This window comes from Homo sapiens, chromosome 18 (assembly GCF_000001405.40).
Source record: "Homo sapiens chromosome 18, GRCh38.p14 Primary Assembly".
Taxonomy (NCBI): Eukaryota; Metazoa; Chordata; class Mammalia; order Primates; family Hominidae; genus Homo; species Homo sapiens.
Window position 1 is genome coordinate 77,872,594 of NC_000018.10, and position 18,277 is coordinate 77,890,870.

Sequence of the window (18,277 nt, forward strand, 5' to 3'; positions counted from 1 at the left end):
TTTTATTTCAAATACATCAGCTGGGCACACTGGCTCATGCCTGTAATCCCAGCAGTTTGGGAGGCCATGGTGTACAGATCACCTGAGTTCAGGAGTTCAAGACTGGCCTGGCCAACATGGTGAAACTTTGTCTCTACTAAAAATACAAAAAACAAAATTAGCTGGGCATGGTGGTGGGGGCCTGTAATCCCAGCTACTCAGGAGGCTGAGGTAGGAGAATTGCTTGAATCCGATAGGCAGAGGTTTCAGTGAGCCGAGATTGCACCATTGCAGTGAGCCGAGATCGCGCCATTGCACTCCAGCCTGAGTGACAAGAGCAAGGCTCCATCTCAGAAATAAATAAATACATATATACATAGATTATTCTCCCTGCCCTTAGAGTTGATTAGTGAATATATATCCGTTTTCAAAATCATCAAAAAATCTTTCACTATTATCTTCAGTTACCCAGATTCAAATATCCCTGATGTCTTAAAGTAAAATCCCAAATGCCTGTTTTCCAAAGAACCAATGTCTTCAATATACTCTGCTGTTTAGTGTGTTAAGTAATTTAGGTGAACCAGAAACATGTTCCATCCTGAGAACCCAAGAATCTTTGTTTACAGTTATTTTAATCCCCAGTGAATTATTTAAAATAGCTATGCATGTTATTATATTGTTTTCATCAAGGGCATTTGAGCATGTTATGACATTAATTATAGTCTGTGTAACGTAAATTGAATACAACAGAAACGGTGTATTCTGTTGGGCAGAAACATGCATAGTGGGTGTGATGGTTAATACCAGGTGTCACCTTGATGGGACTGAAGGATGCCTAGATGGTTGGTAAGGTATCGTCTCTGGGTGTGTCTGATGAGACTGAAGGAAGCCCAGATGGCTGATAAAGAATCGTTTCTGGGTGTGTCTGACGGGACCCAATGATGCCTAGATGGCTGGTAGAGTATTGTTTCTCAGTGTGTCTGGGAGGGTGTTGCCAGAGAAGATGGACATTTGAGCCAGTGGACTAGGAGAGAAAGGCCCACCCTCGATGTGGGTGGGCACCATCCAATCGACTGCCAGCGCAGCTAGAACACAGCAGGCAGGAGAGGGTGGGATGAGCAGTTTGCTGAACCTCCTGGCTTCCTTCTTTCTCTCCCTGTGTCAGATGCTCGCTTCTGCTCCTCCTGCCCTTGGACATCAGGCCCCAGACGCTTCGACCTTTGGACTTTGGGACTTGCACCAGTGGCTTTTCTGTGGGCTCTCGGGCCTTTGGCCACAGACTGGAGGCTATGCTGTAAGCTTCCCTGCTTTTGAGGCTTTTGGACTCAGACTGAGCCACTGCTGGCTTCTCTCTTCCCCAGCTTACAGACGGTGTTGTGATCATCTGAGCCATTTCTCCCAGACACTCCCTTTCCCACGTGCATATTAGTTCTGTCCCTCTGGACAACCCTGACTACTTCGGTGCGTTCTTCAGTGACTTGCAGTTTTTATCTGGTGTTAGATATGTGTCTTAAAAATACTACTACTATTGACACAGTGGTGTTGCTTTAAAATAATTTTTGTAGCATCATTCACCACTATTTATTTAATGGGAGACTGCTTTAACAAAAGTAAACCATCCCTTTTCCATATTCAAAGGAGTAGCTACATTCAGTGGTTTGGTGAAATTCAGAGGGATGTGTCTACTTAGAGGTGTTCTCCACCAAAAAGAAAAGCTGGTTCTCTGTTCCGAGGTTCAGAGAAAAGCGGAGGGAAAAACAAAGAACTGTTAATAAAATTCCAGTTGAAGGGATCACACTTTTATGTACTTGTAGGGAGTGTATCGACTTTTAATCCTGAAAGAGGAGAATGGTTTTGATTCTTTTGGTCAGATTTATAAGATAAGTTTCTTTCTAAAAATCTGTCTTGAGCATAAAAATAGCCCCCTCTGTCTATTTTTAAAGAAAAAGCCATGACGTGAATACATCACGTTTTCCTTAGAGTTTGTAAAAACACTTTGATTTCTGCTTATGATGGAAAAAAAATCAGAGGCATTCCAGAGCCCCCTCCTCCCTAAACCTGATGGAAATGTGAAATTACTGATGGTGTCAACATTCAAGGCACAGCCGAGCGATGAGTGTGGTCTGCCGACCTCTAGGCTCCAGGCACCGTCAGCGGACGGGGCGTAGCTTCTTCGCGAAGGCGGCACTAGCTGCCACTTAAAGCACCAAAATAAGTCATAGGAATTTTATGTCAGTATTTGTGTGGAAGATGGAAAAGTCTACATGATTTAAAAATACATTTTCCTTTAAAATAAACTGAACAGGATTCCAAAATTAAGCAAGTTCAACAATGGCAATATAATGAAATTGATTCTTGTAAAACAGCTTAATGTCTTTCAGTAAATGACTTACTCTAGGGTGTTAATAAGACCAGTGTTCATGATACAATACTTGACCCAGACAGACCTCCCCACGCAGTATAGCTCTGTTCATCTGCCCGCCCCTCCTCCATCCACCCGCCCAGCCTCCACCTCTCCACCCTCCTCCTCCGTCTGCCCTCCCACCCCCAAACATCCATCCCCATCCCTCCACCTCCCCACAGCCCTCTCTGTGCCCATTTTTCCAGCCAAGAACTGACCATCCACCATCCACTCATCCCTCCTTCCCCCAAACACCCCTCCACCCAACCTCCACCCTCCACAATCCACCACCCATTGCTCGAGTGTCTACTGAGTAATAAGCAGATTTAGACAATGATAATGCAATTGTGAGGAGACACACTCTCAGGAGTTTCCCGTTCTATGGGAGAAACACGTGAGTACATAGGAAATTACAATACACCATGTGTAGTACTGTAATGAAATATTGACTTCCCAGATAATTAAAGGACAAATAGGAGTGGGATATGGGGATAAAGGGGGTTCCCTGGAAAGGGGAAGGGTGAAGAACCACGATGTGCAAAAAGAGGAGAGTGATGGTGTAGCCAAGGAATATTAAATATTCTCATATGGCTGGAATATTGCATTTGGGAGGAGATGCACCTTATAAAATAAATTTAGATTTTGAAACTATCTGATGACAGCAATGATGTTTAATTACAGCCTTCCCCACACAGAAAGAAAGAAAACTAAAAGGATTTGATTAATATTTCACTAGCCTCACTTTTGCTATACTGTAAGTATCTCACTGGGAAATCAAAAATAATACTTTTATTCTGTGGCCATAAAAAATTTATTACAAACATGGTCATGAGTGGTGGAGGCACAAGAAAAATCACGAGAAGTTGTGTTTAGATTAATGAGACTGATAACCAATACCTCCCTCCCCCAAAAAAATGTATCTTAAGAAGTCTGTATCTCATTTATAATAGACCAGTAATTTCCCTTTTGTGATGGTTTAAAGGAGGCAAGCTTTTACTGGAACCAGGAATAATTCCCAAATTATTTGTGTCTGAGGCTTATGCAAGACCCACATAAGAGTTATATATTAGAAATGGTTCTGATTATAGAAATTCAAAATGAGAAAAATGACACCTTTCTCTTGACTTTCTTCCCGTTGAACAAACAAACAAAAATACCAATGAACACATTTTTTTAAAAAAATCAAAGATGATACCAATAGAAAATAATTTGAACTCAAAGCTGGAATTGATTCTAATTTTTATTTCCTTCAGAATAGCATTGCAGTTCCTTTGATGATGCTATTGCAATAATCTATGAAAATAAAGAAAGAAGAAACAGCAGCTGGCTGGTTCTTCACGTCCAACGAGGGCACACTCTCCACGGAGCCGCCGTTTAGAATGCTTGACCTTCACACAGACAAGCTTTCACAGGACTCTTCAAGGAACTGTGCAGATAACCAATGGAAACGGGAGCGAGGCACTGGGAACATTACACAATGTGAGCATAGGGTACGGATGCTCAAGCTTCTCTAGCCTGTGCCCCTGCCTGGGACCACGCCATGTCACCCCCATGGACGGGCACCCCTCCGAGCGGACACTGCCTTCCCTCTCCAGCGACTGGGCATCTTAACTCAGTGCCTTGTCTGGTGGGAGGAAGCTCTGGGCTCACCTAAACCCTCCCTATTGAAACCGAAGCCCATTTCCTCTCTTCCTATCGTCAGTGTAGAGAGGAACAGCTGGTCACCACCCTCCACATAATAACCCTTCAGCATCCTGAAGATGGTTATTAGGTCAGCTTCTCTTCTCCAGGCTAAATAATCACAGATCCTTTAATCTTCCTCATAGGTCCTATTTTCCGAGTCTTTAATCGTTTCTGCTGCTCTCTACTGAATCCCTTTCAGCTGCTTAAGTCCTGGTGTGTCACCTCTTCAGAGGGGTGGCACGCACCCTTTGAAAAGCTGGGCAGCCAAAGACGTAGCAGGTATGTCTCCAGTGACAGAGACGTAGCAGGTATGTCTCCAGTGACAGAGACGTAGCAGGTATGTCTCCAGTGACAGGCAAATTCGGCCCCACAGTACAGCCAAATGGCTGTGAAAGCCGCTCCTCTCCATTCCTTCGGGCAGGTGGCAAACAGGGCAAGACACTCACCTCCTCCCCACCGGCAAAAACAGAATCATGACAGTAGTAACGACAAACATAAAAACTAAACTGATGACACAAAAACAAGAGACTGAGACCAATGTCAAGTTTTTAAAACTGTAACTATGGCAGTTGGGATAATATAAATAATTACCATTTGGACTGGATAATGCATCTCATGTGATTTTTAAAAAATAATTCACAAGCTTCCTACATTGGTCTTTTTTGTTTTTAAATTTCCAAATGACTTTGTTGCATCCTTTTCAGCATAGGGTCCAGGTCTTCTTCTGTCAGATTCCAACTCCATCGACTTCAGTTCCCACAACAGGGCCTTGCGAGCTGAGATGCTGGTGGGAATCACCTGAAGGCCACCTGGCCAGCCCCCCGAGAGCTTGGCTGCTGCGTGTGCTGTGGCCTGGGCTTCAGTGTGTTTGCAAAGCTCCCCAGGTGAACATAACGTGCACCCAGGGTGAAACTGTAGCCGTGAATGTCTCCCAGGCAGCTCCCCACACACATGCTGGTAGGATCACTACACTGCACTCCCTGGGCTGACCCTTGTATCTCCTCTGACCATTTAGTTAGATTTCTTGGTCATGATTAAATCTGTTCCTATTCTCTATGGTGTTATCTGCTCCTTCCAGCTTGGTTTCTTTGTACACTTAATGAACATACTTCCCATCCTATCATTCAGAAAATTAATGAAAGTGCTTAAACAGCATTGAACCCAGGATTTTCCTAAGGGAAACACCACCTGTTATGTTCTTTCATATTGACATTGAGCCACTTGTAAGTATGCTTTGAGTCCAGCCTCAAGTATGATTTTACTTATGATTTAGGCAGTCTTTTCCCATATGTTGATTGGAATTTCACACACAATGAACCCAAACATCACAGAAAACAATGGGGAACTGGGGTGGAGTTTCATTTTTCCTGTGGCTTAAGTGGAACATTTCTTTTCTATCTGATTAAAATTGTTTTGTGGATTTTCTTTATTGATTAGCTACATACAAAAGCAGTTAACACTATTTCTGAAAACGGAATGAACTTCTTTAAACTAATTATATAATATTTCATTCACATTAATTTTTTAATATTTAAAATATAACCAAGCATATAATAGCTTCAATTAATTTTCAGAATATGTTTTCAAAGTCAGGATCTATTTTTTGAACTTTTATTTTAGGTTCAGGGTACATGTGCAGGTTTGTTATATAGGTGAATTGCATGTCCTGGGGGTTTGGTATATAAATTATTTCATGAACGAATCCCAATAAGCATAGTCCCTGCTCGGTAGTTTTTGGATCCTCACCCTCCTCCCACCCTCCACCCTCCAGTAGGCCCTGGTATCTGTTGTTCTCCTCTTCGTGTCCATATCAAACTCAAGATATTTTAATACCATATGCTTCAGTGCTGATAAGGGCCTCACCTAAAGCAGTGGAAACATTTTTTGTTTGTTTGTCTGTTTTGTTTTGTTTTGCTTGAGACAGAGTCTAGCTCTGTCACCCAGGCTGGAGTGCAGTGGCGTGATCTCAGCTCACTGCAAACTCTGCCTCCCAGGTTCAAGAGATTCTCCCACCTCAGCCTCCCGAGTAGCTGGCATTACAGGCGCCGGCCACCACCCCCAGCCAATTTTTGTATTTTTAGTACAGACAGGGTTTCATTGTGTTGATCAGGATGGTCTTGAACTCCTGACCTCATGATCTGCCTGCCTCGGCCTCCCAAAGTGCTGGGATTACAGGTAAAAGCCACTGTGCCCGGCCAAGTAGTGGAAACTTTTAAAATCAAAATCTAAACAAGCTTTTAGATTCATTCAATGAGTATTCATTGAACACCTACTATGAGCCCAAAAGATCAATACAAATGTATTCTGAGCCCTTTTATATCCATGTCTATACTTGGTAGATGGCCTTACTCTTGGACAAGGATGCTGAACCATCTCTCGTCATAGCACATTGTGGTTCTTCTCAGAGGGAGTCGGTGCTTCCTAGATAGAGACAGAGGAAAGCAACCTCTCTGAAAACAGTGACACATTTCTTTAGATTTGGAAACTGGAATATGACTGGCTTCAACCACTTTAAAATGTTTCCATCCTTTATTATTGCTATTAATCAAAGACAGCCAGGAGAAAATGTCATCTTCTGATTAAGAGATGCCTCTTTTATCCTTTAAAAAAAAATTCCTAGTTTTGTCTATGCATTAGTCAGCAATGCGATACCAAGATGTAAGTCTTTGTCTAAACAAGGAATGGGAGAAATAAAATATATTTTAACCTGTCACCCTGGGTGGGCTTCTTGTGTTCTTCCTAGTTTAGCAATAAAACAACATTGTTTCAAATGTGGCAATTTCCTTTTATTCTTGAAACAAGCAAACTGTAAATTGCAAAACAGAACAGGATAAAAGCATAATTACTGCTTTTTTTATTCATACCATATTAATGTAATATAATTATCCAGTAAGTAGGCAGACTCTTATGAATATTCAACAATAATGGCAACAAAAGGCTGCAAAGTGGTTATTCTAATGAACACAAATAAAACAAAAACTTTAAGGGATGAAATAATTTTTTGGTATGTTTTAAAATGACGCCTGACAGCTGAAGTGTTCCACAGTGGAGTGGAGGCCGAGGCTGGGGGAAGGCAGATGCCAGGTCTTGGAAGGAAGCAGGGAGAGATTCTTACCCGTCCCCATCACGTTAGCCCTAAGTGCACCGGGGAGGGACTAGAGCAACTCAGCGAATCTGCAGAAATAAAAGTGGAAGAAAAGTGGAAACATCAAGCGGCTTGAAGTTCCGCCACACCGTGGCCACGGTGCTCAGGGCCTTCCCCAGGAGGTAAAATCAGTAATTGGCAAGAGAAGGTCAGTGCCACATTGGACACTGGGAATGCAGAGTGCCGGGCAGAGCAGCTCCTGGGGCACAGCAGGCCTGGGTGCAGCGTGGAGGGCGGGGGAAGGAGGAGCCCTGTGGGTGACCCTGGCACCAGAACCTGGATCCGCGGGAGATGCACAGCATGGGAGGGAGGAGCCCAGTCTTGATGTTCGAATGGGCACATCTTGGTTTCTGGAAGCTGTAGCTCAGAAAACAACGCGAACTCCCGCGCATGGCTCGGACGACCTGGTTTCAGGTCTGATTGGGTTGGATTCAGCCCGGATGTACACCAGTTTGCAAGACTGATGTCACTGTGCACTTTCCACCTCAAATTGAAGTTGATCTGAAATATGCACAGTGAATAAAGGAGATCTCAGCTTAAAATGGAACAGTCTGTTCCAATCATGCGGAATATTTCTGAGTTCTCTGAGCTCTGTGCACCAGCACTGTTGATCACTTTGCCTTATTTTGCCTAATCCTGACATAGCTTTGTGAACGTTGTACATTTTTAGTCTTCCTGCTACAGACGAGGAAACAGAATCTAAGAGAGATTAAATTATGTTTCCAAGATCAATTTCCCAAGAGCTGGTAAGGGGCATCCATTCATCCATCCATTGATTCCCTAAGTGTGGACTAAACAGTTACCACATTCTAGGTGGGGGGTGACAGTGATGAGACCCGTAGATACAGTTCCATCCTCATTGCATTTACAGCCCAGAAGAAGAGGCGGGCATTAAACTCCAGTACCAAATATACAAGGGGGTAGAATATAATGAATATGATGAAAAAGTAAAGGACTGCATTTAGAAAGCAACACGTAACGTGAGATCAGGACACGAATATGAAATATCCAGGCAAAAAAGTGCGTAAGTTTATTCAGAGAAGTGGGAAGAGCTCATGCTAAGAGTCTGGGAATGGAAATGTTGTGTGACTGAAATGTGGACAAAATGAAGGTGTACTGATGAGAGATAAGCCTGCGAGTGTGGTCAGTCAGGGGGAGCCATAGTTTCAGTTTACCTAACTGCAGCATAATTGTTGCTAACACTTCATCTCATTCCCAGAAGCATCCTGGTTTGGACACTGATCGGTGTGGCTGTGTGAGCACACATCCTCTTCTACCTGAGTGGAGCACCGGCAGGATAGTCCACGTGTCTCAGAATTTTATATATCCAATACATACGCTCTATGCTTATAACTTAGAAAATATGTTTTATAGAAACAGAATACCACTATGGATAAAGTTACGATTTTTATAAAGATGAAAGTAGGCATGACATAAAAGACAGTTTTATTTAATGATCATTGGGGCTGCTTGTGTATCTGTAGATCTTTGGAAAATAATATGATAAAGACATTTATACTTCATAAATTGTTATGTGTTCATGTCATAGAACTTATTTTTCTTACCTTCACTTGAGCTAAATTACAGATTCTATTAAGATAATAAAAATATTCACATAACTTATGTACCGGTGACCATAATGCCAAATGAGATAACCCCTCTTAAAGCATTATCCTTTTTAGTTTTTCTTAATTTTCCCTTGATAAATTTTACTGTCCGAAGGCAGACACAACTAGAACTGCCAATACAAGTTTTAAAGTAACAATTGGATTCAGAAAAATTTCAGAGGACATTAGGGTATCCAAGGCAATGGTGTCTACCTAACCCTGCATGTCACAATAACTGTGCAGTTAGAAGAAAAACAAATGGAACCACACAGCATGGCTAGAAGAAAAAGACTATCACAGTCCGTTAGTTACCTGTAGTGGAAAGTATCTACATGAAGACTTTTTTCTTGAGCTCTCATGGCAAGACTTCTCAGAGAGTTAGGGGATAATGAAAAGCTGCCCAGAAATAAGAAAAAGAAATACAAGCACAAAGGTGGACTTAAAATCACCCCAAGAAGCTAGAGACATAAATTACCAAGAAAGGATCCTGATAGATCAGAGCAGCTGGGAAGGGGCGTGGGCATACACAAGGCTCAAGGTCATGCCATTGGAAAGCATGGCACTGGGGAGAGAAGATGGTGGACGAGGAAGGAGCAGCCCCTCTGGAGATTTGTTGCAAATAAGAAGCAGGGGCTGGGGAGAATCTTAGGATCCTGCAAGACAAAGGACAAACTAAAGGACAAACCACCTCTCCCCTCCAAGCCACAGTTTGCTACACCAGAGAAAAGGGCTTTTTGCACTAGGAGGCTTAAACCACTATGAACAAAAACGTTGAACTCAAAATGCATATGTATAAACAAACCTTACAAGCAAACTTACTATTAGAAGAAAACAGGAAATAAAAATCATTTCAGGTGGTTACAGTTTTCTCTCTCAATTTTTTCTTTATAAAAAAAAGCGTTATTCAAGCACTCCAGACTTGATTAAATGTCCTTGATAAACATTCTGCAATATTTTTTAAATGCAGCATCCACTTCAATAATTAAAAACAAAAATAATTAAGTAAAAAAAGGAAAGAAATGTTGATTGAACTTGGGAAATAAAAGAAAATACAAAAGCATCTAAAAATGATGACCAGGTCACAAGGTTATAAGAAAGAATAAATTTAAATAAAAATTCAATAAAAATATTGGAGAAAGGAAAGAACAACCAAGAGAATAAAAATGAGGCTAAAAAAACTGTCGGAAAGAAAGGGGTTGAAACAGGCAACAGGAGCTACTAAAGAAGTGAAATGAAACAATGGAACAGAATTGATTCACACAACTCTAGTGGAAGAGAACATTGAAGAAATAAATAAAAGATAAGCCGACACATTGAAAGAACTTTCCAGATACCTGGCATAAATAACTCGAATGATTTTCTCAGGGATGTATCCTATTAAAACAATTAGATTTTGATTTGAGTTCCTTATAAATTCTGGATATTCAACTTTGTCAGATACATAATTTGTGAATATTTTCCCCCATTCTATAGATTGTCTGTTTACTCTGTTGATAGTTGATTTTGCTGTGCAGAAGCTCTTTAGTTTATATAGGTCCCACTTGTCAATTTTTGCTTTTGTTGCAATTGCTTTTGGGGACTTAGCCATAAATTATTTGCCAAAGCCAGTGTCGAGAAGGATATTTCCTAGGTTTTCTTCTAGGATTTTTATAGTTTAAGATCTTACACTTAAACCTTTAATCCATCTTGAGTTAATTTTGTATATAGTTTAAGAAAGGGGTCCAGTTTCATTCTTCTACATGAGTCTAGCCAGCTATCCCAGCATCGTTTATTGACAGGAAGTCCTTCCTCATTGCTTATTTTTTGTCGGTTTTGTTGAAGATCAGGTGGTTGTAGGAGTGTGGATTTGTTTATGGGTTCTTGTATAGTGTTCCATTGGTCTATGTGTCTCTTTTTGTATCAGTACCATGCTGTTTTGGTTACTGTAGCCTTATAGTATAGTTTGAAGTTGGGTAATGTGATGTTTCTTGTTTTGTTCTTTTTACTTAGGATTGCCTTAGCTATTTGGGCTCTTTTTGGTTCCCTGTGAATTTTAAAATAGTTTTTTTCTAATTCCATGAACAAACGACTTTGGTAGTTTGATAGGAATAGCGTTGAATCTGTAAATTCCTTTGGGCAGTATGGCCACTTTAACAATATTGATTCTTCCAATAGGTGAACATGGAATGTTTTTCCATGACACAAATTGGTATCTGTGTTATCTCTGATTTCTTTCAGCAGTGTCTTAAAGAGATCTTTCACCTCCTTGGTTAGCTGCATTACTAGGTATTTCTCCTTTGTGTGGCCACTGTAAATGAGAGTGCTTTCTTGATTTGACTCTTACCTAGAATATTATTGGTATATAGAAATGCTACTAATTTTTGTACATTGATTTTGTATCCTAAAACTTTATTGAAATCATTTATCAGTTTTAGGGGACTTTTGGCTAAGTCTCTTGGGTTTTCTAGGTATAGAATCATATTGTCAGTAAAGAGAGATGGTTTGACTTTCTCTCTTCCTATTTGTTTGCCTTTTATTTCTTTCTCTTGCCTGATTGCTCTGGCTAGCAATCTCATTACTGGGTATATGCCCAAAGAAAAATAAATAATTCCACCAGAAAAACACATACACTTGTATGTTTGTTGCAGCGTTATTCACACTAGCAAAGATATGAAGTTAACCTAGTCGCTCATAAATGGTGGGTTAGATAAGGAAAATGTGGTACATATACACCATGAAATACTGTGCAGCCATAAAAAGTAATGGAATCATGGCTCTTGCAGCACCACGGCTGCAGCTGGAGTTTGTAATCCTAAGTGAATTAACACACGAACATAAAACCAAATACCACATTCTCACTTATAACTGGGAGCTAAACGTTGGGCACTTATGGAAATAAAAGAGCAACAGTAGACATTGCGGACCACCAGAGAAGGGTGGAGGGAGAGGTGGATTGAAAACCACCTAGGGGAACTATGCTTGCTACCCGGGTGAGGGGATCCACACCCCAAACCTCAGTATCATGTAATAAATCTGCACATGTACCCCCTGAATCTAAAATATGAGTTGAAACTATCAAAAAAGAAATAAAACTGAAACCTTTGCATTTTAAAAAACAATCAGATTTTAAGAAAACAAAAAGTCTGCAGGGCTTCAAGGGAGAAAGATCAAACACTTTCCCAGAGCAAAAGAATTAGTTTGACCCCAGAATTCCCAAAAGTAATAAGGAAATAAAATAATAACCGTAATAATAGTGATGACGGTGCAATAATTTTAAGAAAATCAAGGGAAAAGGAAGACTGGAGCAAAGATTTTATAATCAACCATCCATATAACCATCTACATAAGTATGAAGGCTGCAGAAAAATGGTGTTAATCATGCAAAATATAGGGTCTATCACAAACCCGAGCCCTTCTTCAGCAGTCGCCTGGAAGATAAACGTCATCCACCTAAGAGGACTGCAAAAACTTCAGAAAAACCCATAGCAAGAAACTCATATAACTAACAGCTCAAATAGGACTAATATGAAGATGGAGAAAAGCATAAAATAATATGCAAATGACCTGACAAAGTAGACAATGCAACAACTAAAATTCGCAGAAAGAAAGGAAAACAGGAAAGTAGAATAAACTTATATTATTTAGGTAATAGTTCAAAGTCAAAGAATACCACGCAAATCTAGCAAGCCAGATTGTTTGAAACAAATGTTGAAAAACAAACACAAGAGATGAAGATTTTAAAGACGGTATGAGTACAAACGTAACAATGCAAATAAAAACTCAAACTTTCCTAAATGCCAAAATAAATGTGAAGCAGAAAGGGAAAATAAGCATTTTACACAGAGAAAGAATATAACAACAATAACATAATATACATCATAATATTAAAATATTATGACAAAGTTGAGGCAAAATATATCAGTCACATCAATAAATGTAAATGAGCTTCAAACATCTATTAAAAATGACATTCAATCTAGCTCAGTAATCATATACATAAATATGTGTGTGTGCATGCTATATATGTGTATGATTATATACAAATACATGACTTTACATACATACATATATATGATTTTACATACATGCATACATACACATCTACAGTAAAGTAGTTCAGAAACATAAGAATAAAGATATGGGCAAAGATATACCAGTTACATGGAAACAGTAAGAATGCAGGGGTTGCAGTCCTAATACTAATCAAAGCATTATCCAAGCTAAAAAGCATTAATGTGGCAAGAGCATCTTTTAGTACTGAAAGATATAATGCACACTGAAGATATTACAAATGTAAATCCATATGTACCAAATAGTTTAGCACCCATCTTTATAAAGAAGGAACAAGGGAGATGCAAGGGGAAATAATGCAAATAGGGGATTTTAACACTACTCTCAGGCAGATCACACAAACAAAAATATCATTACAAAGAAAACACAATTAAGTTACGTAGCCAAATGTTACAAATAATATTCTCATAATGCAATAACAGTAAAAAGTAATGTCAAATTAAAAGGCCATCCACTTGGAATTAAAAATAAGCCTTCTAAAGTAGATCTTGAGTAAAAGGAGAAATACAAACACTAGTACAGAACTTATGAAAAATAATGGCGAAACACTGAAAATCAGGTACTATGGAAAATACTTAAAGCAGTGATCATGGGAAAAGTCATAGCTTTAAATACTTACATCAGTGTAAATTTAAAAAAAATTTTTTTAAAGCAGATTAAATTCCCAACTCAGAAAACTAGGAAAATAGTAAAAATATCAAAAGGAAATAACAAAAATAAAATCAGAAATTACTAAAATAGAAAATAGGAAAATAGAAAAACTAGGTTTAATAATCTATATTCTTTTTATTGAAATAAAAAGTCACATAACCTATTGGCTAATTTAATTAATAAAAGCTGGAGAGATCACACGTTTAATTACTAAGAATGTCCAAGGAGGAGAAATATAACAGAAAAAATAATAAGATTACTTGAAAATCTCTCTTGCAAATAAACTTTAAACACTGGACAAAGTGGAGAATTTTGTACAGAAAAAGCCTGATTACCAAAACTGACCATTAGAGAAAGAAAACTTAAATAGAGGAATTGCAGAAGGAATAGAGAAGGAGTGCTCAGATAGTTCCACGGGGGAACTGTTCCAACCTTCATGACATTGTTAATAGATGATTCTATGGCACAAAACTCACTACAGAACATACATATAAAGAAAAGCTTTACAAATACTTTCATGAGGATAGTATAACAATAATTTCTAAACCTGCAAAGAATAAAAAAAAATACACCATATGCAAATAGGATTCATTCCTGGAATACAACATAGGTTTAATATTAGGAAACTCATTCACAAAATATATAATTACATTTTATTACATTATGTTTATTATATCTGTTATATAAGAGGTGTAAGGAGAAAAACTTTACACCTTATTTTAAACATTAAAAAACTTTTATCAAAACTCAATTCCAGGTCGAAAATTTTAAAAAACACCGAAAGAAGTAAGAATTGGTAGATATCCCCTGAATGTAGTCCTTGACATACCAGAAACATAATTTCAGAACAGAAAACTGTAATCATTATCTCCATTGCTAATTCAAATTATACTGGACGTATTGCTGGAAACACTACAATTTAATGTGTCATAACAATGAGACATAAAATAATTGAAAAAATATAACTAAGATGATCTCTGTCTACTTATGATATGAGTGTATCTGGAAAGCTAGACAAAGATGGGGCTCACTAAAACAGTAATCAAATTCAATGACATATCAGGAAATCTTATTAATTCACAGCAATCAATATTTTTCATATGCACAAACAATGAGAAATAGGGGATTAATGGTAGAGAAACTGTATTTATAAAAACAGCAGAGGATACAATAATTAGTAATAAGTTTAAAAATATCTATGCAAAATCTACATCAGATATACTTTAAAACATCCTGAAGGGCACAAAGGAAGACTTGAGCAAATAAGATATCAGTTGTTCTTGGATAAGATGACTCAATGTCATAAACATGCAAAACTCACTAGTAAAATAATATTCCAGTAAAAATACGAATATTCTTTCTTAGGGGGCTAGAAAACTTGATGCAAGTGTTTGTATAAAAACATAAATATAAAAGAAAAAAATCTAAGGGAAAAAAGAAAAGAGCAGCCATATGCAAGATGGGCCCTATTGGGTATGGATACACCCAAAAACCCTATAATTAACAGAGTGTGGTTCTGAAACATGGATAAACAGACAAAACAGTGGAATAACATAGAAAACTCCCAAAATACTTTTAAGTACATATTGAATTTAGTATACAGGCAAATCTTGAAAATATTTTTGGGTTCATTCCAGACTGCTTCAATAAAGGGAACATTGCAATAAAATGAGTCACACAAATTTTTTGGTGTCCCAGTGCATATAAAGGTTCTGTTTACACTGTACTGTAGTCTATTAAGTGTGCAATAGCATTATTTCCTTAAAAAGTACATACTGTATTTAAAACATATTTCACTGCTTATAAATGGTAACTATCATCAGAGTCTTCAGTGAGTCCTAATCTTTCTGCTGGTGGAGGGTCTTGCCTTGATGTTGACGGTTGCTGACTGATCAGGATAATAACTGTTGAAAGTTGGGTTGGCTGTGGCAATTTCTTAAAATAGGACAAGAATGAAGTTTGCTGCATTGATTGATTGACTCTTGTTTTTATGAAAGGTACCGTTGTTGCTTGACATGCCATTTGATAGTATTTTAACCACAGTATAACGCCTTTCAAAATTGGAGTCAGTCTTCTCAAATCCCACCACTATTTTATCAGATAAATTTATCTATTATTCTAAAAACCTTTGTTTTCATTTCAACAATGTTCACAGCATCTTCACCATAAATAGATTTCATCTCAAGAAACCACTTTCTTTGCCCATCCACAAGAAGCCACCCCTTGCCCATTCAAGTTTTATTAAGAGACTGCAGCAATTCATTCATGTCTTCAGGCTTCACTTGGAATTCTAGTTCTCTTGCTGTTTCCATCACTTTTGCAGCTTCTTCCTCCACTGAAGCCTTGAGCCCTTCAAAGTCATCCAATCAACTTTTTCCAAACTCTTGTTAATGTTGACCTATTGATCTCCCCATGAATCATAAATGTTCTCAATGGCATCTGGAATGATGAATCCTTTCCAGAAGGTTTTCCATTTATTTTTCCAAGATCAATTAGAGGAATCACTATCTGAAACAGCTATAGACTTGCAAAATTTATTTCTAAAATAATCATACTCGAAAGTCAAGATCACTCCTTGATCCCTGGGCTACAGAATGAATGTGTGTTAGCAAGCATGGAAACTATGTTCATCGCATGTACATCCCCATCAGAGCTCTTGGGTGACCAGGTGCATTGTCAATAAGCAGGAATATTTTGAAAAGAATATTTTTTTTTTCTGAGCAGTAAGTCTCAACAGTGAAGTTCATATGTTCAGTGAACCATCCTGTATACAGATGTGCTGTCATTCAGGCTTTGCTGTTCCATTTCTAGAGTACATGCAGAACAGAGTTAGCATCATTCTTAAGGGCCCTAGGAGTTTTGGAATGGTAAATGAGCATTGGTTTCAACTTAAAGTCACCAGTTGCCTTAGTCCCTCACAAGAGAGTCAGCCTGTCCTTTGAAGCCAGACACTGATTTATCTTTTCTAGCTGTAAAATTCCTAGATGGCATCTTCTTCCAATAGGAAGATATTTTTCTACATTGGAAATCAGTTGTTTAGTGTGTTTAGTTTCATCGATGGTCTCAGCTCGATCTTCGGGGGAACTTGCTGCAACTTCTACATCAGCACTTGCTGCCACACCTTGCACTTTTATGTCATGGAGATGGCTTCCTTCCTTAAACCTCATGAACTAACTTTTACTAGCTTCAAAGTTTTCTTCTGCAGTTTTCTCACCTTTCTCAGCCTTCATAGAATTGAATAGCTTTAGAGCCTTGCTCTGGATTACGCTGTGGCTTGAGGGAATGTTGTGGCTGGTTTGATTTTCTATCCAGACCACTCAAACGTTCTCCACATCAACAGTAAAGCTGTTTGCTTTCTTATAATTCATGTGTTCACTGGAGTAGCGCTTTTATTTCTTCAAGACTTTTTTTTTCTTTTTTCATTCACAACTTGGCTAACTGGTGCAAGAGGCCTGTCTTGGCTTCCACATGCCTTCCTCACTAATCTTAGTCATTTCCAGCCTTTGATTTAAAGTGAGAGAGATGCAAGTCTTTGCTTCACTTGAACTCTTACAGACCATTATAGGGTTATTAATTGGCCTAATTTCAATATTGTTATGTGCCAGGGAATAGAGAGGCCAAAAAAGAGGGAGAGACATGGGAAAGTTGATGGTTGGCAGAGCAGTGAGAACACACAACATTCATCAGTTAAGTTTACTGTCTTATATGGATACAGTTTATAGAGCCCCAAAACAATTTCAATAGTAAGACCAAGATCACTGATCACAGATCACCATGTATAATAATAATAACAAAGACATTTGAAATATTGCAAGAATTATCAAATGTGACACAGAAACACAAAGTGAGCACATGCCTGTTGGAAAAATGGCACCAACAGGTTTGCTTGAGGCAAGGTTGGTACAAAGCTTTAATTTATAAGCTGGAATTTCTGCAAAGAACAATACAATTAGGTCTCCCTCTACAATGAAAGTAGCATCTCAAATGCCTGGGGCAAAGATTTAAAAAAAAAATAACTGGTTCTTTGTCAACTGGATGGCCATTCAGAAAAAAATACAAATTTAGATCAATACCTAACACTCGACCCAATAGGGTTGAAATGGATCAGGAATCTAAGTGTAAAAATAACATCATAAAAACAATAGAAGGAAACACAAGTGAATTCCTCTGTTGCCTAAGTATAAGAATTCCTTTGTTACCTAACTATACATCGCAATGCAGATGCAATGAAAAAAATATGAATATATTTAACTAAAATAAAAGAGAAAAAAACAGTAAAAATAAATAAAAAATTTGCATGAGAAAATGGCTTCAGAGTTTTTTTGTTTTTTTTTTTATGGGGAAGTCAAAGATAAATGATAAACTAGAAGAAAACCTTTGCAATATATATCATAAACAAAGGAATAAAATCACTGATACACAAAGAAAATCATAAGAATAAGCCATAACTCCACGGCCATAATATAAAGGAGAATATAAACTCCTAAGCAAATGAGTAGTCCTTTGCATAGCCCATTCCCTCCTGATTCATTTCAGTGTAGGTTCGGCTTTTATCATTTCATCCATAAACAACCCAGCAGGGTCTCTCTATTCATCGGAGCCTCCCAGATGTGTCTGAATCCCCTTTATGCCCAATCTGCCACTCGATAAACATGCAACAGGAACAGGCCCATCCAAACAAGAATGGGAGATTTTTATAGCAGGTACCTGGAGTGTGGATTTTGGGTGGGCAATTGGGGGACTGATGTGCCTTTGAAGTAG